The following is a 20,266-nucleotide window of genomic DNA, read 5'->3' as shown; positions in this document are numbered from 1 at the left end:
CTCAAAGTTAAAAGGTGGCTTAAAGATCACTGAACTCATCTGACTCAGTTGTGAGTTCAGAAAAGGAATTAAGAATAGAGGCAGACTAAGGTCAAGAACTCAGGCTCTCTGACAACCAGTTGAGTGTTGTTTCTTTTATTTTTTCTTTTTCCAAGAGAATTTCTTTTCTGCTTTATTTAGGTATAATTGACAAGTAAAATTATGTATTTTCAGGGAGTACATATCTCTGGTATACATATGCATTGTGAAGTGATTACCACACTCAAGCTAATTAACGTATTTATCACCTCAAATAGTTACCTTTGTTGTGTGTGGTAAGAATACTTAAGATCTACTTGGCAACGGTGTCTTTTCTCTTATGACCTGTTGCTGCTAAATACTGCAGACTGTATGAGTGAAGAAAGATTTGTCCTTTGGTATCTCCTTTCTCATGTATACTCTCTGATAATATTTCCTGCATTAAGAAGTAATCCTCAGCCTATATTGCCAAAACAATGTGAAATAATATCGATATTATGGTGCATTCATCTTATTGACCCTTTTTGGGGTATGAAGTACTGTCTGATTCCTTGCAATATAACTTCTAATACTATTAATAGGTTACAATATACTAGGTGTTCTTAAAACTAAGGTAAAGACTTTAATAGAGTCTTAATCTTTAATGTCCCTTAAGGATTTCGTTTTGATGCCATTTAAAAAAAATTAAAACTGGCAAATTAGTATAATGTGAGCATTAACAGAAAGATAAAAAAATTAACCTATTAATAAAAATGCAAAGAACTTCTGTTCAAGTACCTTTTGTTTAGGGAAATACTGTCTCTCTTAGAAATATTTTATATGACTTCTTTTATTACCCTGAAAAATCTAATACTCAAAACAGTTAAAATATTCATTTTTATAGAGGAGGTTATAGAGAGGCAGTTAGGGAAGGGGGATTACCTGAAGGAAAACAATGATTTGGAATTGGCAAAACCTGTCTGGGTCTCTCTAGCAAACAATAGGTCTTTCTTAGGTTGCTGTTAAAAAAACTAATTATGTGACAGTGATCACATCTCTAGATGCAAAGGATCTTTAGGTTATACAAGAATAGCATTAATCATTGTTACTTTTGTTTTTTATATATTTTTTTCTTTCTTTTTTTTGTAGTGGTAAGAGGTTTTATTTTCTTCTCATCCCAGGAATAGGTTTGCATACTGCTAAGTTGCAGTGAGCTGAGATCATGCCACTGCACTCCATCCAGGGTGACAGAGCAAGACTCCATCTCAAAAAAAAAAAAAAAAAAATGCCTACTGCTTTTTATTGTTATGTAAATCCTTATTGCATTTGGTATATTCTGCATATTGGGGTGGATTAGAGATTGGTCATTTTCTGCAAAGGAGAAAATGAAACATCTTGGTCACAAAAAGATGTAGAAAAAGTTTCAATTAGAAATTGAAAGAGGATTTTAATTTTCTCATCTTTGTTTTCAAATAATTAAGTATATTGTGTCACAGTTGATTAACCAGAGAATGCAAATTAATATAATTGTGTGCAGTATGTCATCCAGGTCTAAGGGCCTCATAATCTTTTTGTTGATTGAATGGGAGAAAGAAAGAGTGGATGAAGGTCTACAAAAGCTTGTGTTAATTAAGATATATCTCCTACTGGTAGAAAATCACGTTCAGACATTATCACATCGTTAGTCAGCTCATCACGGTATCACTTCGCAGAAAATCCTGTTTTTTTTTTTCCAGTGGCTTTAATGAATTTCTTCTAAGAAGTCCTGTGAAAGGACTGAGCTGTAGTATTTGGATAACTGTGCCATTTTCTTAAGAAACAGTTTGAGCCTGCTGAGAAAGTAGGTCATCTGGTTTGACATTTTCCTGCAAAAGAAGTAGCATTAATATATCTTTTTTTTTTTTTACTTAACAAATAAAACATCAAATTATTTTGGCCTTTTCCTCATAATCAAATAGACAACAGGATGCTAATTAAATAACTGATAGGCAAAAATCTGTGAGACTAAAGAACTAAATAATTATAAATAATTTTTCCATTTACTTGAACTTTTCTAAGGATAATTGTTATCATTTATCTATTTTTATAAAGAAATAAATGAATAATCAGTATGCCTTTATAAGATAAAATTAATTGTTCACATTTAAGAATTTATTAATATAATGATAAAAATAAAATTTTTTTAAAAGACATGCTTTTAAAGTTCTGTGTTTACTTTCTGTTTATGTATATATGAACCCTTTCTTTTCTTTTCTTTTCTTTTTTTTTTTTTTTTTTTTGAGATTAAGTTATACTCTTCTTGCCCAGGCTGGAGTGTAATGGCATGATCTCAGCTCACTGCAACCTCTGCCTCCTGGGTTCAAGTGATTCTCCTGCCTCAGCCTCCTGAGTAGCTGGGATTACAGGCACCCACCACTATGCCCGACTAATTTTTTGTATTTTTAGTAGAGACAGGGTTTCACCATGTTGGTCAGGCTGGTCTCAAACTCCTGAACTCAGGTGATCCACATGCCTCAGCCTCCCAAAGTGCTGGGATTATGGGTGTGAGCCACCATGCCCTGCCTATGAACCTTTTTGACAACCACGATAGCTATTCAAGATGTTTGCTTGGTATTCTTTGTATTTCTGATAATCTGATTAAAGGATGTTCCAAATATAGGAACATTAGTTATAGGTTTCCTTATAGCTTTATAAGTGATGTCTTTTTTGCTGCTTTTGCTGTATGTGTGTGTGTGTGTATGCACACACACGTGTGCATCTGTGTATGTGTTTTTAGTCCTGTCAATATGTCATCTGCAGAGATTCTTTTCTCTGGAATTATTGTCATATGTCCTTTATGGTTATGTAAAAAGAGAAACACTTATTGCTGCGAAAAGGATGTATTATATTATAGTTGTGTGCATTAAGAATTCCGAATTTTGTTTGCTTTTAACAAGTTTGGGAGAAATTCACTAAACTTTAATTTATACTATTACCTTTCAAGGAATATCATAACACATATAGCTGTTTGATTTAACGGTTCTTTACCTGATATGTAAAGTTCTTGTTTGCTGTTGGGTTTTGGCTTGATTTTTCAAGACTCATTTTAGGAAAAGGCTAAGTGGGAAAAAAATTGAAAAGATAGAGCATTACACATTACTCATTTAATGAGTACTGCATAAATTGGCAAGTAGACTGAAAACCAAGGGTTATTTATCATCAGAAAGTTTACTAGTCATTTGATTGAAAGAAATGTTAATTTTGTAAATTAAACAGAGTAATATCAGCCCAAATATCAGCCAATAATATAATATTTAAAAATGTGAACTAAAAGAGTATAATTCGAGAAAAACACAGAGTATTTTTTTGGATTTCTAGACTTCAGAGTGTAAGCACATCTGTGTTTGGATCTCATTAGTTCCTCCTCATCTATGTTGTAAGAAATGTCAGAATTTTGAGAGAAAAAAAAACAGTAGAAGCCAGTTATGTATCTCTGATTCAGTATGTTTTAATAAATATGAAGATAAAATATACATTCTGCTTCTCAGGAAGCACTGGCCACTTTGTGACTGCCGTATTCCAAATAATTTAACATCTAGTTATTCATAAACTAGGAAATGGCAATTGTCATCAAGTGTATATTTTCATCATTTTGTGGAAATGCTCACCTTCAGTTAGTGAAGGATTTACTGCAGCTGGGGAGTGTTAGCTTTGCATACTATCTAAGCCTGACTGTGCGACCGTATCAAGACAGGAGTATGGGTCCACTTGCTGTTCATGGTTGATATATGACCGTTTGGTCTCTGCTGGGAGTTATTATGATTAACCTTAACAAACAGTTTTCTCCAGTAAAAATAGATGTTGGAAATATTTCTTCAACAAATATTTATCCAGCACCTTAATTATGTATCAGATAATGTTCTGTATCTTGGTGGCACAATACTCATCTACTAGAAGAAGAAAGAGGGATAGAGAGATAAATACATATAACAATAAAACATAGTGTGATAAACTCTGTGAAGGTGGAAGCACAAGTTGTACTGGGAGTGTACAGTAGGTCCAGCCTATTCCAAATTGGGCAGGAGGAGAGAACAAAAAAGTAATGGAGGGATCAAGGAAGCCTTTCCATAGGTATGACTCTAGAGGTAATGCATACCTATTCCTGAAAATGTGCATACTCTATGCCATGCAGATAGCTATGCAACGTAAGTATTTCCAAGGTAACATCTAGGATTTTTTCCTTTGTCCTTTTTTTTTCCCCCTTCCTCTTCCCCTCCCCCTCCTATTTTCTCTCTTTTCTTCATTATGAATTCATATGCACTGAAGTTTACTAAATCAATTCTTAGCTCATGATATGCAGTCATTATTGGTCTTTTCCTGGCCGTCATTCACTTATTTATTTATTCATTTATGATATTACAATTAATACATATGAAACACCAACAATTACTTACATTTACCCTTTTGCTTCTCTCCTATTTCATCCCCCTACCTTTCCTAAAAGATAGTCATTATTCTGAATTGTGCATGTCCTTCCTTTTTAATTGGTTTGCTTTATTTCATATATATCATACTTAAATAATACATTGCTTAGTTTTTTAACTCAATAAAAATTATGTTCTGTTACATGCAATCTGCGGAGATTTTATTTCACTCAACATTATATTAATATGATTCATTAGGTTTTTATTTATAAATAAAATCATTCAGTTTCACTTCAGTTAGTACTTCATTTTGTTTGCGAATAAGCACAAATGTCCATTCTCTCATGTCAATGAGCAACTGAGCTGCTTCCATTTATGTTGTTCTATGAGTGGTGCTACTGTGAACATGCTCATACTTGCTGTCTAAGACACATGTGAAAGTTTCTGCAGGGTGTGTCCCTGAGAATGGAAATATTGGGCCACAGACTTTGCAAAAGTAAAACTTAAATGATAATGCCAAATTGTCTTCAATAGCTATTGTACCAATTTGGACTCCCACCAGCAGTACATAAGAGCTTAGGTTGATCAACATCCTCTCCAACACTTGGTCTTGGGAGACTAATTTCTGTCAATTGAATGCTACATGATGTAAATGCTAGTTAATGGTGTCTGGTTTTGATTCACATTGCATGGGTTACTAAAGAGACTGTGCATCTCTTAGTATGTTTATTGGTCATGTATATTTTCTCTAACCTTTCAATGATAAGATTTGATCATAAAGATATATGTTACCATTAAGGAAAAAAAATATATTTTTATATTTATATATGAGAAATATCTATATGTAGAAATGTATATATTATGTATATTTATAGGATAAATATAACTATTTCAAATATTAATCCAGGCTTAATTTTATATATTTAAAATATATATATGAATATATATTATTTATATATTTATACCTATTTATCCTTAATGGCTACATATATATTTATGATTAAAATATTATAATCCATCTATATATATATACACACACACACATACATACACTATGTATATATTAGTAATACATAAAATGGTGGGTAAATTTCTAATAAAGGATGGATATACAGTCAAAATGTCTAACAAAATAAACCAATAGGAAATACTTCCATTTTGAAATTATTTTCATGACTTTTATCTTTTCACAGCTTGATGTTTATTTTTCTTTTGACAGAACGATTTCGAGATTTACTACTGCCTCCATCTAGTCAAGACTCCGAAATTCTGCCCTTCATTCAATCTAGAAATTATCCCAAGTAAGCAAAAGGAGTTCACTGGGTTTTGATGAGGCAATGGGCATAGTGCTGGGAGAGATTTGGGCAGGCAAAAACAAAATGTAATCTTTCTTAAGATTTCTGAAAATCTTGAATAACTTACCCTAACTAACTAAGACATCTTCTGCAATATAATGTCTCAGGCTCCTTGCAGCTGGGTCATAGAAGAAATACTTACTTGTAATTGCAACCCAGCTTTGACTGAGGAGCTGCCGCACAGTGCAGACAACATGCTGTGTGCATCTGTGTCTGGTTCTTTTTGCTTGATGTCATATCAACAGGGACAGTATTTTGTCAGTGATGCCTCATCTGGTTTTCTATTTACTGTCCTTTAAATGCAAGGATTCATTTATATTGTAGCAAGTCATTTTCAAAATAGCCGTGGGCTAGATATGATTTTTGACAATCTCTACATATTCTTATGATTTTTGACAATCTCTACATATTCTTATTTATCGTATTGAAAACAGGGGAAATGAAATCTTCTGACGCTTTGTTATGTGAAGCAGACCTTTCCTTCTCATAGATGCCCCAAGCGTATGTCCTTGTTGAAGGAATATGCCTTCATCTTCCCGAAGGTTAAGGAAATACCACGACTCTTATAACACATCTCCTTCCCTAAAGACTGACGCATGCTGAATCTTGATCATTCCTGTGGCATCTTGGGGCCTCCTCTATGAGTGTTTAACTCTCTTTAATTGTTAGTGTGCAACAGGCTAAAGAATAAATAAACTAATATCTAAAATAGAAAAGAAAGGCCATCAACTTAAAGGAATAGAATTTGGTTTATACATATTTCATCTAATCACTATGCCAAATTCTTTCATCGCTTTGAGAGTTTTTTCAAGTATTCATAAACTTTGCTTTCCGGGGAAATTATTTTCCCTCTAATACTTAGCTTTGATAATACTCACTTAATTATGATCACAAAAATAAATGCAGAATCCTAATTATACTGCTTGTGCATTGTTTCAAATTTTAATCCAGGCTTAATTTTTAGCAATAAACTTGCAATCCCCTGATAACACACACAAAGACATACATGTGCCTATACAGCCTTGAATGCATACTTTGCTCTATACGTACATGTTGACCAGGAGCATGAATGTGCCTAAAAGGATTGGTGCACGCCTATTTGTATTTTTACTTACAGTGGCTGTTGGCAGAGGCTGATGATGCCTGCTTTTCTGCCTCTTAGGCTTACAGTTTGCCTAATGCCTTTGCTTGAAGAGGGTAGTCATAGTAGTTTCTCAGGTGGTTATCTATTTGCAGCTACAGGAATACCTCAGAGATATTGTGGGTTTGATTCTAGGCCACTGCAATAAAGTCAATACTGCAATAAAGCTGTCACACTTTTTTTTAAGTTTCTCACTGCATATAAAAGTAATTTTAACAGTATTCTGTAGTCTTTTAAGTGTGCAGTAGCCTAGATATGTCTAGAAATACTATGTACATCCCTTAATTAAAATATACTTTATTGTTAAAAATGCTAACAATCATCTAAGCCTTCAGCAAGTCATAAACTTTTTGCTGGTAGAGGATCTTTCCTCGATGTTGATGGTTGCTGACTGATTAGGAAGGTGGTTGTTAAAGGTAGGGGCACCTGCGGCAATTTCTTAGCATAAAACCATGAAGTTTGCTGCATCAGTTGGCTCTTCCTTTTACAAAAGATTTCTCTGTAGCATGTGATGCTGTTTGATAGCATTTTACCCACAGCTTAACTTCTCTAAAAATTGTACTCAATCCTCTCAAACCCTGCTGTTGCTTTATCAAGTAAATTGTCATTTCAGCATTTTCATAGCTTCTTTACCAGGAGTAGATTTTATCTCAAAAAAACTACTTTCTTCCTGTAATCCCAGCACTTTGGGAAGCCGAGGCAGGTGGATCGCCTGAGGGCAGGAGTTTGAGACCAGCTTGGCCAACATGGTGAAACCCATCTCTACTAAAAATACAAAAATTAGCCAGCTGTGGTGGCACACGCCTGTATTTCCAGCTACTTGGGAGGCTGAGGCAGGAGAATTGCTTGAACCGAGGAGGTGGAGGTTGCAGTGAGCTGAGATTGTGCCACTGCGCTCCAGCCTGGGCAACAGAGTGAAACTCGATCTCCAAAAACAAAACAAAACAAAAAATGACAAACAGACAACAAAACCAAAACTACTTTACTTGCTCATCCATAGTAAGCAACTTTTCATTTATTAACATTATATCATGAGATTGCAGCAGTTCAATCATATATTCAGGCTCCACTTGTAATTCTAGTTCTCTATTTATACTATGTTTGTAGTTACTTCCTCCTCTGAAGTCATGGACGCCTGAAAGTTATCCATGAGGGCTCAAATCACTTCTTCCAAACTCCTATTAATGTTGATATTATGACTTCCTCCCATGAATCATGAATGTTCTTAATAGCATCTAGAAGGTGAATAATTTTCAGGATGTTTTTAAATTTACATTGCCCAGATCTACCAGAAGCATCACTGTCTATGGTAGCTATAGCCTTATGAAAAGTATTTCTTAAATAATAACAATTGAAAGTCAGAATTTCTCTTTGATCCATGGATTGCAAAATGGATGTAATGTTAGCAGGCCTGCAAACAACATTCATCTCCTTGTACATCTACATCATAGCTGTTGGTTGACTAGGTGCATTGTCAATGAGCAGTAATTTTAAAAATTTATTTGTATAAATTTTTGTGGTACGTATGTAATTTTGATACATGGATAGATTGTGTAGTAGCCAAGTCAGGGCTTTTAGGGTATCCATCACCAGAATAACATACATTGTATGCAATAAGTAATTTCTCATTATTCACCCACTTCCTAGCCCCCCTGCAACCTTTCAAGTCTCCACTGTCTATCATTCCATACTCTACATCCATGTGTACACATCATCTAGCTCCCACTTTTAAGTGAGAACATGAAGTATTTAACTTTCTGTGTCTGAGTTATTTCATTCAGGGTAATGGTCTCCAGTTTTATCCATATTGCTGCAAAAGTCATTATTTTGTTCTTTTTTGTTCCTGAACAGTATTTGATTATGTGTATATGCAGTATTTTCTTTATCCAGTCATCCATTGATGGACACTTAGGTTGAATCCATTTCATTGTTATTGTTCTGGTGTGAGCTTTGCTTACTGCCTATGTGAGTAGTAACACTTTGGATAGAATCTTCTTTTTTTTTCTCTGGTGGGCTTAAAATATTCAGTAAACCATGCTATCTATAAACAGATGTGTTTTCGTCTGGACTTTGTTCTTTTATTTATAGAGTGAAAACAGAGTAGATTTAGCATAATTCTTACGGGCCTTAAGTTTTTCAGAATGGTAAATGAGCATTGGCTTCAACTTAAAGTGACCAGCTACATTAGTCCATAGACAAGAGTTAGTCTATCCTTTGAAGCTTTGAAGACAGGCATTGACTGCTCTTTTCCAGCTGTGAATACCGTAGATGGCGTCTACCACTTGATGGCTGTCTTGTCTACATTGAAAATCTGTTGTTTAGTGTAGTCACCTTCATCTATTATGTCAGCTAGATCTTCTGGATAATATACTGCAGCTTCTCCATCAGCACTTGCTGCTTTGCTTTGAACTTTTATATTATAGAGATGGCTTCTTTTCTTAAACCTCATGAACCACTTCTTCTAGCTTCAGACTTTTCTTCTGCAGCTTCCACATCTCTGTCAGCCTTCATGGAATAGAAGAGAGTTAAGGCCTTGTTCTGGATTAGTCTTTGGCTGAAGAGAATGTTGTGTTGTGGCTGGTTTAATCATCCAGACCACTAAAACTTTCTCCATATCAGCAATAAGGCTGTTTTGCTTTCTTATTATTCATATGTTCACTGAAGTAGCACTTTAAATTTTCTTCAGAAACTTTTTCCCTTGCATTAGCAATTTGGCTCACTGTTTGGCGCAAGAAGCCTAACTTTATGCCTATCTCAGCTTTCAACATGCCTTCCTCACTAAGTTTAATCGTGTCCAATTTTTGATTGAAGTAAGAGACATGCAACTCTCCTTTCACTTGAAACTTAGAGGCCATTTTAGAGTTGTTAATTGGCCTAAATTCAATATTGTTTTGTCTCAGGGAAGAGGATGGTCCCAGGTAAGGGAATAAGAAGGAGAAATGGTTGGTAGTTGCAGTCAGAACACACACATTTATTCATCATTGCAGATAACTGAAAGTCAAAGAATTTGTAGCTTTGTAACATAAAAAAAATTCTGTAAAGTTGAAAGGTGAGTCAAACAATTAGAATGTATTTCATTCACAACCACTGCTGTATGTATCTACATTGATATTTTTTCCTCATTTTTCTGATTGAAATATGTTTTAAGACCTAAAATATGGGTTACAAAGCAACTTCCTTGCCCTATAAAGTTATACCATATCACAGAGTATTTACAGATCATTGCATAACCAACATAGATCATAACATCACTAACATGGACTCATTGTGCACTGGTTAGTGTGAGCTGTGGTAGTTTGGATTTGGACTTGGGTTTCTATTTAGTCAACATAGTGTCCCTATAATCTTTAACTTCCTGTTACCAAGAGACATCTAACAAATAATGAAATATGGAAATGTATGTCCTTTATATAGGTGAAAAATATTCATGAAGAGAACTGACTAGTTCTGAAATGTATATGTGTATGTATGTATATGTTTAAAGGAAAGGCATTTAAAAAATAACTCCTGCAATGGTGCTTGGGAACACTCTTCTAAAATACAAGAATGTTCATTAATCAATTTTTACATTTGTGAGCTCTTATTTGACCCACTGCCAAAGCCAGGGCATCCATTCTCATCAGGATGTAATTGTAGACATTGCTCCATGAAAATTCTCAGAACATGAATAGGTGTGACAGTTGTCAGAAAGAGACAGATGAGTGGAAAGGAATAAAAAAAGAATGTGCATCTAATACAAAATGCATATTGTTGATTTATAGGTTGGAGGAAACAAATGGAGATAAAAAACAAGTTTTATTGCTAATAAACTCTGAAGGATTTAGGTTCATAACATGTAGACTAGAGAGTAGTTATAATATATTTTTATCCTTGTAAATACAGCTTGGACATGTAAAATGGTTAAGTACATCTGGTATAATTTTATCCACAAATTACTTGCAACCATTTTGGCAATTAAACCAGCAAAACATGACCCATTGGCTCTGGAAGTTTTAACCACAATGTAGGTAAAAATATTGTGAAAATACAAGAATAAACTGTTTCTACTTGGTTCTCATAAAGATCAAGTTCTCTGAGCTTCCTAATATCGGAACTGTTTAGAGAGAGGAATATCATTTATGACAAATTTTAGAGCTGTTCTTTTTTGACTTGGTTTGCTGCCAAAGAACAACCTTGATTGTTTGGACAATAAAAGCAATGTCCTACCTCAATCTCATTTCTAATGGGCTACGTAAAAATGACTTCAAATGGTGATTTTGGGTAATACCCTTAAACTGCAAAGCCTCAGATGACCTTTCCATAGTCTGTTCTCCAGCTTATCCTCCTTTCTCTTTCCTAGCCAAGTTTTGAGTTCTTCTTCAAGATATCATCTATCTTTAATAATTTCTGTTCAATCTGCATGTCTGTAATGTACTTGTCATCTGATCCTGAGCCAAGTTATTTTATTTTATTTTATTTTATTTTATTTTATTTTATTTTTTAGACAGAGTCTCGCTCTGTTGCCTAGGCTGGCGTGCAGTGGTGCAATTTCGGCTCACTGCAAGCTCTGCCTCCCGGGTTCAAGCAATTCTTCTGCCTCAGCCTCCTGAGTAGAAGGGTTTACAGGTGCTCGCCACCATGCCGGGCTAATTTTTGTATTTTTAATAGAGACAAAGTTTCACCATAGTGACCAGGCTGGTCTCAAACTCCTGACCTGGTGATCTACCCGTCTTGGTCTCCCAAAATGCTGGGATTACAGGTGTGAGCCACTGTACCTGGCCCAAGTTATTTTTGTTTATAATAGTAACACATAATGAGCACTACACATCCAGGAATTGTGCTTTATATGCATTATTAATTTAATTCTTACTATTCCTCTATAAGTTAGGTAGTACTGTTTCCCTAATTTTACAGATAAGAGGACTGAGATTCAAAGAGGTAAATGCCCTACCCAAAGTCACATGGCAGAGCTGGGTCTCCAATCCAGATTTGTTTGGCCCCTCAAATTATACTTAACTTAGAAGTGGTGGGTCATTGAGGGATTACTCCCAGGTGGCTGAAAACTGTGTATGTGTGGAGCACGTGTGTGCATGCATGTGCAAGCACACATACACTTGGAGTCGAGGTATAAGGAGAAATGTGGACAGGGCCTAGAATACCCTTTGTCTTCTGAGGCAAGGTCTCACTCTGTCACCCACGCTGTAGTGCAGTGGTGCCAGCACAGCCCACTGCAGCCTCAACATCTTGGGCTTAAGTGAACCTCCTGCCTTGGCCTCCAGTGTAGCTGGGACCACAGGTGTGTGCCACCAGGCCTGGCATATATATATATATATAGTTTTTTTTTTAGAGACATAGGTTTTTTTTTGTTTTTTTGAGATGGAGTCTTACTCTGTTACCCAGGTTGGAGTGCAATGGTACAATCTCTGCTCACTGCAGCTTCTGCCTCCCAGATTCAAGAAGTTTTCGTGCCTCAGCCTCCCAAGTAGCTGGGCTTACAGGCATGTGCTACCATGCCCAGCTAATTTTTGCGTTTTTAGTAGAGACAAGGTTTCACCATATTGGCCAGGCTAGTCTTGAACTCCTGATTCTGGTGATCCGCCTGCCTTGACCTCCCAAAGTGGGGATTACAGGCATGAGCCACCACACCTGACCAGAGACATAGGTCTTATCACTTTGTTATCACAGGCCTGGTCTTTGTTGCACAGGCTGCTCTTGAACTCCTAGCCTCGAGCAATCATCCCACCTCAGCCTCCCAAAATATTGGGATTACAGATATGAGCCACTGCATCTGGCCTGGACTGCCACTTAAATGACCTTGGACTTTGTTGTAAAGACAATGAAGACCCATGAAAGGATTTTAAGCCAAGGAGAAAGATAATTAGACTTACATTTTTATAGATTTCTCATGAAACTAGAGAGGTACATGAGCTACCGCATGGGGCCAGCACACTAGCTACTTGGCAATTTCATATTCAGGCAAGAAATGATAATGGTTTGTACTGTGGTAATAGTAATATGGAAGATCAGATAGATGTCTAAGGGTGTTCGGAGGCATAATTAACAGAATGTGATGACTATTATGCAAGAAGGAGAGGAGGAGAGAGAGGGAGAAGGAAAGAGCTTTGGGTGGCTTCAAGCTTTTTCCCTTGAGTCACATTCTGGTTTAAGTCCTCATGATTGAGGGAGAGTGGCAATCTGAGCATCTTTATGTTGACTTTTTGTTCTGTATTACAAATGATGATAATGGAGATACCTTCCTTCTAATGTTGCTTTGAGGAATGCCCAATGCATGACACAATTCTTTCTTGTAAGTCTTTGTGATATTTAAATAAAATTATAAAAAGCACCTGGCCTCTTGCAAAAGTGAATTCTCATCACCATTCTCGTTGTCAGCTCTGTTCTGCCATTTCTCAAAGCAATTGCTTGCCTCAGGGCAGGGGGAAAGGCTCTGCCATGTGGGCTGCTTTTATATCTTCAATCCATTCTAAATCCTGTCAGAAGAGATACATTGTCCTGTCTGGTAGAGGTGGCTCTGGGTGATATGCTCTGCTTAGATTAGTCAGGAAGGAGCCCTTTCCCTTGTGTGTCTGCATATTTGTGGTAGTGGTTATTCCGGTACAGTTTCTACAAGCACAGTAATTCATAAGATTTTCCACAGTATACATAATGTCTTTCATTAAAGAATTACTGTCTTTCATCTTCTAATCCTTAAATTTAGGCTTTCTTTTATATAGTATGTGAAATTCGAATACCTGGATGGCAAGAGATCTAAAAGGTAGTATTCTGACTAGAGTGTGGAATGTAGTTATAAGAATGCCTAATGCTACTGATGTTTGCAAAACTACGCAAGTAGGATGTCTGAAGGACGCTGGTCTATCAGCAGGTAGTGGATCCCAACCCCTGGGCTGGGATTCACAAGGCTAAACCCTGTCATCAGGACTGTAAAACTGAGGCACTGCTTAAATTGTAAAGATTTTGGCTCAGAGATCTAAGTCAAGAAGCTGTGTTAGCGCAAGACTAATGAGCAAGCAATAAACAAGCCTTAGTGCTGACTGAGAGCACAACTCATTCCCGACTCAGATAAGAATTGGTTGAAGGATAGGGCCAAGCCGAGTCTATAGCTGGAGGTTAGGTGGCTAAAATTTCAGAACAAGTTGGGGATGTAGCCACTTTCTGGAGATAGATTAAGCACAGGTAATTCTCCATCTTTCTTTCTTTGTTACCCCATCCTGCATTCAGCTGCCATACATCTTTTCAGACTCTTTAGTTTTTATGTTTGAGGGATTTTTGTTGTTTATTTGGGGTTTTTTTTTTTATTTTTAGGCAGAAATTGTCAGTCGACAAAGTAGCCTAAAGTCCTTCCTTTCTTAAAAATCTTATATTAAATGTATCCATTCATAATGGTTATTGGAGCATAATTTTGTTAGCATGATTATTTTATGGGGACTCCTTGCCAAAGAACTTTTATCCTTACAGACTTTAAATTAATTAATTTGTAAGGCCTTGACTGAATCATTCAGAATTCCAAGAGATAAACATCAAATTGGTTTTTTTTCAAACCATGTTCCTTTTAACATGAGATTGCATTAGATAATAATTACAAATTATTGTAAGTGGGCTTGAGTTCTTGATTTCGCTCTCAGCTTGAACATTACTGGTACATGGAAATGCTGCTGATTTTTGTGCATTGACTTTGTATACTGAAACTACTGAAGTCATTTATCAGTTCTCTTGGCAGAGTGGGTTTTTCTAGGTATAGAAGCAAATCATCAGCAAAGAGAGATAGTATGACTTTGTTTCTTATTTGGATGCCTTTCCTTTCTTTCTCCTACTTGATTGCTCTGGCTAGGACTTCCAGTGCTATGTTGAATAAGAGTGGTGAGAGTGGGCATCCTTGTCTTGTTCTGGTTCTCAAAGGAAACACATCCACCTTTTGCCAATTCAGGATCATGTTGGTTGTGGGTTTGTCATAGATGGCTCTTATTATTTTGAGGTATGTTCCTTATATGTGTAGTTTATTGAGGGTTTTTACCATAAAGGGATGTTGGATTTTATCAAAAACTTTTTCTGCATCTATTGAGATGAAAATAGGTTATTTGTTTTTATTTATGTTTACATGCAAAAACAGAAAACTAAACATTGGGTACACGTAGACATGAAGATGGAAACAATAGACACTGGGGAATACAAGATGTGGGAGGGAAAGGTGCAGGGATTGAAAAAATTACCTACCTGTATTGAATGCTGCTGTACACTGTAGAGTACAGTATTGGTTGTTTAAGCTCATGGTCATGTGTCTGGCTGGAAGCTGTGGCAGCTGCCCAGCATCATGAGAGAATATTGTACCAAATACTACTGGTACAGGAAAAGGTCAAAAATCAAAATTTTAAGTACAGTCTCTATTGAATACATATTGCTTTCACTCCATCATAAAGTCAAAAACATTTAAATTGAACCATCCTAAGTTGGGGACCCTCTGTAAAATCACCACCTGTACCAGCTCACTCCTGATCCTCCTTACCTGCTCTATCAGCAACATCAGTAGCTCCTGGGGGAATGGTGAAAACTACAAATGCTCAGACTTCTGAGTCAGCAAGTCTTGGGGTAGGGCCTAGCATTCTGTGTTTTAAGAAGCCCTACAGGAAATTCTGATACACAGTAAAATTTGAAAGCTATCAAGGGAGAACCATCATGGGCTTTTTAAACTCATTCCTTTTGTTTATTGTTTCTATTGATATGATTATCTCCTGAGACTAGAATGGTCTAAAACTGCCATACCATCCTCTCCTGAGGAATAGTTTATCACACTCACTTTTTTCCTACATGAAGAGAGAATTGTTAGATGATAATTGTCCTGGAAGCTTTTTTTGTTTTTACCTTTATATAATACCCCTCACCAAAATAACTGGTAATTGTAAAGATTATTATCTGATTATTAACAAACTAAGCTTTGGAGTTAGACTCAGAATGAATTTAGTAAAAGTCATCCCCCCTTAATATAAGTGTGACCTTAAGAAAATTATTTAACCTTTCTGAGTTTTAGTTCCCAATGCAACAAAATGGGCATTATACTTTCCTATGAAAGTTGTTGTGTGGATTAACAGTGAAGGTATACATAGAACATTCAGTACCAACCTTGGATTAAATGTTCGGTGAAGAGTATCCATTGTTAATATAGCTTATTTTAGGTTTCTGAGGTAAGAGTCTCAGGCATGTCTTGAAAAAGAAAAAATTTTTGGACACTGAGTTTTACTCTGTCACCCAGGCAGGAGTGCAGTGGTGTGATCATAGCTCACTGCAGTCTCAACCTCCTGGACTCAAGCCATCCTCCTGCCTCAGCCTCCCTAGTACCTGGGATTACAAGCATGTGCCACCGTGCCCAGCTAATACTTAAGACAAGGGTCTCATTTTGTTGCTCAGGCTGGGCCCAAAATTCTGGCCCTAAGCCATCCTCCTGCCTCAGCCTCCCTAAGTGCTGGGATTACAGGTGTGAGCCACTGCACCAGACCCTTGAAATTTTTTATTAATTAAAAGAACTGTTTAAAGTGACAGATGATCAGAGAAGATTTTAAAAGGCAAATATTTTTCAAAAATTTACACTTATATGAACATTAAATGTTGTAAATTACAAACCTTTACTTTTAATAATAATATAATATTTATTATATTATTCTTAAATATCTAATATTTATCAGGTTCTTACTATGTTCAGGCACCATGTTAAAAGCTTTAACAAGTATATTCACATTCAGCCACATAAAACAGAAATGTAGCTTGAAACTCATTAACCTTAATAAAAGATTTAAATCAGTTTTTTTAAATGTAAATAAATTCTACTTTCAAAGGAAAAACTTAAATGTCAAAAAATGTTTATATACTTTTGAGTGGGTCAGGGAGGAAGATATCTCTTATTCTTAGAATTATCTTAGATACACAATCCTTCATAAAGGATCTTTTCATTAGTTATCAACAGAAATTTAAAAATATATGAAGTTGATTTCATCTCTACTATGTTATAGCAAGACTTTAAAGAGTTGCCTTTAATTTCTACAATCTGGTTACATATATTATGATAATAGCAACATAACATTCTTTTAAAGAACATGTACTATGATAGGGAGAAAGTCACTGCTCATAAGTGAAACGCAGTGTATTTCACACATATTAATCAGATTAAATATGTAAAAAAAGTGGTTTAAGTAGTTTCCGTTTCCATCTCCCTCAAAAAAGTAGATGTCATGAAGTAATCAAATACTAGTAATTTTATCTTCTTATTTTTTCCAAGAAAAGCAAAATTTTCTCTCTCCTGGTACAAAAAAAAAAAAATCAAATGAAAAACAACTGATTCTCTAAGGGCCTTGAAATCAAATTCCCACCTACATTTCCCAGCTCATACTGGACTTAGCCCATTTCTTGCATCAATACTGGGCCTCCCAGAAGGCCTGTCAGTATACTGTAGGCACTCATTGATACCGTTAATAAAATGTATTTCTGATATTTGTGTGGCCCTCTACAATTCTTAGCACACTTTTTTTCTGTAGCATCCCAACTTATTGACCCTTTTATAGATGAAAGAAATCCAGTTTAGAGAGGAAAAGTTATTTGTCTGGAATCCCAGCCTTAGTAAATGACTAGAACGCTGAGTTCTAGTCGTCCTGTCCAAAGTTATTTCAAAACACCAAAGAGTAGCTTTGTGGGGAGTGGGGAGGGTGTGTGTGTGGGTGTGTAGCTCAGAAAGCAGACAAGTAGGAAGGAGGGGGCAGTGGCCAAAATATAGTCACACAGCCAAAACAGATGCAGGGAGTCTGAGAAATGTAGTATTTTGGCTGGACTTTTTGCTTCCCTGAATAAAATTAATTGTCTGTTACTAAGAAAGAATGGGAGGATGAATATTATATGAACAATTAGCATTTCTATTGCAGTTAAGAAGGATTTCTCTATGCTCTCTCTCTCTCTCTGTCTCACACACACACACTTGAATATATAAACATGAGCAGAGTAATTAGAGCTGCAGAGCTTCCTTTGTGATTGTCCTTTACAGCTAAAGAACTATCAGTTTGTAAGTAAAGTTTTATACTTATGAACAACCAGGGCAAGAGGAGGGACAGTGTTAGATTCTTTTCCTTACTCCTGCTATTTTTCTGTTCACATAGTAAATGTTTAAATAAGTATTTCCAGTACTGATCTAGCCATTGAAAAAATGTTTATTGAATTTAGACACAGTAAAGCAATTGTTACTTTAATTTAGTCATATATAGTCTAATATATGACTATATTAGACATATAGTCTAATATGATCAGAGCTTTAACTTGTCCTTAGCTACCTGGCATGATCATATTTACATTACCCTATACTTTTAATTAATGGTTTCCTCAAAAAAGACACACTTAGAAACAGACGTATTTATTTTAATCTTGACACTTCATAAGCAACATTTGCTACTCCTTTAGGCTAATCACTATGAGAAACCATGAAATAAGGCCTGACCCATCACAAAATCTAGAGATTGCATTCAGCATGTTTGCTATATGGTACAGAAAATTAATTTCACTTATTTTCATTTTTTTCCCACCTTTTTCTGACTGCTCTACAGGCTGTATATTGATGGTCCTTTTGGAAGTCCATTTGAGGAATCACTGAACTATGAGGTCAGCCTCTGCGTGGCTGGAGGCATTGGAGTAACTCCATTTGCATCAATACTCAACACCCTGTTGTATGTCATTTTGATCTATTTTGTTAATCCAAATAGAGAACTGCCAATATTTCTGATATCTCTCTTTTTAGTATAAAATAATTCCTTATTGAATTATTCTACTTGTTGATCAAGGACCTCCATTTCCTGATTGGTGAGGGGAATAATTCAGTGATTCTCAACATGTGGTCTGTGGCTGCTAGCATATTCTCTTGTAGAAAGATGTCATATCACAGTTATGCACTCCTCTGTCCTTTTCCTCTGTTAAAAGTCATTCGCCTCCATCCTTCATTTTCTATGTCCTCATCAGCGGTAAGTGGTTCTACTCATTCATTCAGTCAACAAATATTTTTGAACACCCATGTGCCAATAGGTCTTACAGGTATTGGGAAGACAGCAATGAATGAAAACAGAGTCCCTGCCCTTAAAAAACTTACATTCAAATGGGGCAAGTAAAAAAGAAAGCAATGAGAAATGTAAATAAAATTATTTCAGAAAATATTAGAATTATGACAAAAGGTAGACATTAATGGATATGGAAATAAAGGGCTGGGTTTATTGTTGAAGTATGGTCAGGCTTTTCTGAGATGACAACTGAACACATCATTCCTTCATTTATTACTTAGCAAATTTACAACAGACTAAAGAAAGTAACTTCAAAGGTGAAATTGTGGCCGGGCACATTGGCTCACACCTGTAATCCCAGCACTGTGGGAGGCCGAGGTGGGTGGATCGCTTGAGGCCAGGAGTTCAAGACCAGCCTGGCCAACATGGTGAAACCCTGTCTCTACTAACAATATAAAAATCAACCAGGCGTGGTTTTGCATGCCTGTAATCCCAGCTACTCCAGAGGCTGAGGCATGAGAATCTCTTGAACCTGGGAGGTGGGGGTTGCAGTGAGGGGAGATGGCGCCACTGCACTCCAGTCTCGGTGACAGAGCGAGACTCTGCCAAAAAAAAAAAAAAAAAAGGTGAAATTGTCTGACCAGGAAATACTAAACTAAAACTTATTTTAGTTTCAGGATTATAAGCAAAAGTTAATTGATTGATATTCTTATGAAAACACAAAGCAAAATGAAAGTAGAAAGTTATTCTCAAATCTATTCCATTTACTATTTTTTTTGCAGAACCAAAAAAGCAATAATAAATTTAAGTGATGTGTTTGAATGATATTTTATTTCAGTTTTAAATACTAGATGTAAATTTGGTACTTTCTGGCGGTTCTTACAAAAATGATCATGCTCTAAGCCAGAAATAGTTTGTTTCTGACAACACATTACAAGTTATTTGGACACCTAATGTTATGAAAAAGGAAGAAAATTTTCTTAACCTCAAGCCTACTTTATAAATGGGGATCCAGACTTGGAATTATGAGTTGCTGGAATGCATTACATCATACATGATTGTGAAATCTCTTTCTTTAATGATTTTTAAGAGGGGATAAACAACCAAGTTTCTGGAATGGTTTTGGCTCATTTTGCCAAAAAGCCAGGGCAAGACTGAATGACCTTTGGAGCCCTACTCAGTCTGTGATAGAATTCACTGAAAGTTGAAAACTTGTTTTTTTTCTGAGATGCAGAGCCCAATATTATTCTGGTCCAGTTCAGTTATGGCCTTCAACTGGAAATGGATGATATGCATACTTGTGAATATTATTCACACTTAAATTCATTTAACATTTAACACTTAAACACCTAA

At 35.9% G+C, this 20,266-nt stretch overlaps 1 protein-coding gene across 8 annotated transcripts in view; it reads left to right on the top strand.

Moving 5' to 3' along the window:
- Positions 1-20,266, top strand: part of NOX4 (NADPH oxidase 4) — a 265,205-nt gene that overhangs the window by 228,895 nt on the left and 16,044 nt on the right. For 5 of the 8 annotated variants that reach the window (NM_001143837.2, NM_001291926.2, NM_016931.5 and 2 more), the window contains 2 exon segments: positions 5,620-5,701; positions 18,470-18,589. In NM_001143837.2, coding sequence (NP_001137309.2) covers positions 5,620-5,701; positions 18,470-18,589 — 202 coding nt within the window. 8 annotated transcript variants of the gene reach the window in all.

This window comes from Homo sapiens, chromosome 11 (assembly GCF_000001405.40).
Source record: "Homo sapiens chromosome 11, GRCh38.p14 Primary Assembly".
Classification (NCBI taxonomy): Eukaryota; Metazoa; Chordata; class Mammalia; order Primates; family Hominidae; genus Homo; species Homo sapiens.
This window is presented reverse-complemented; position numbering and strand designations above follow the sequence as displayed.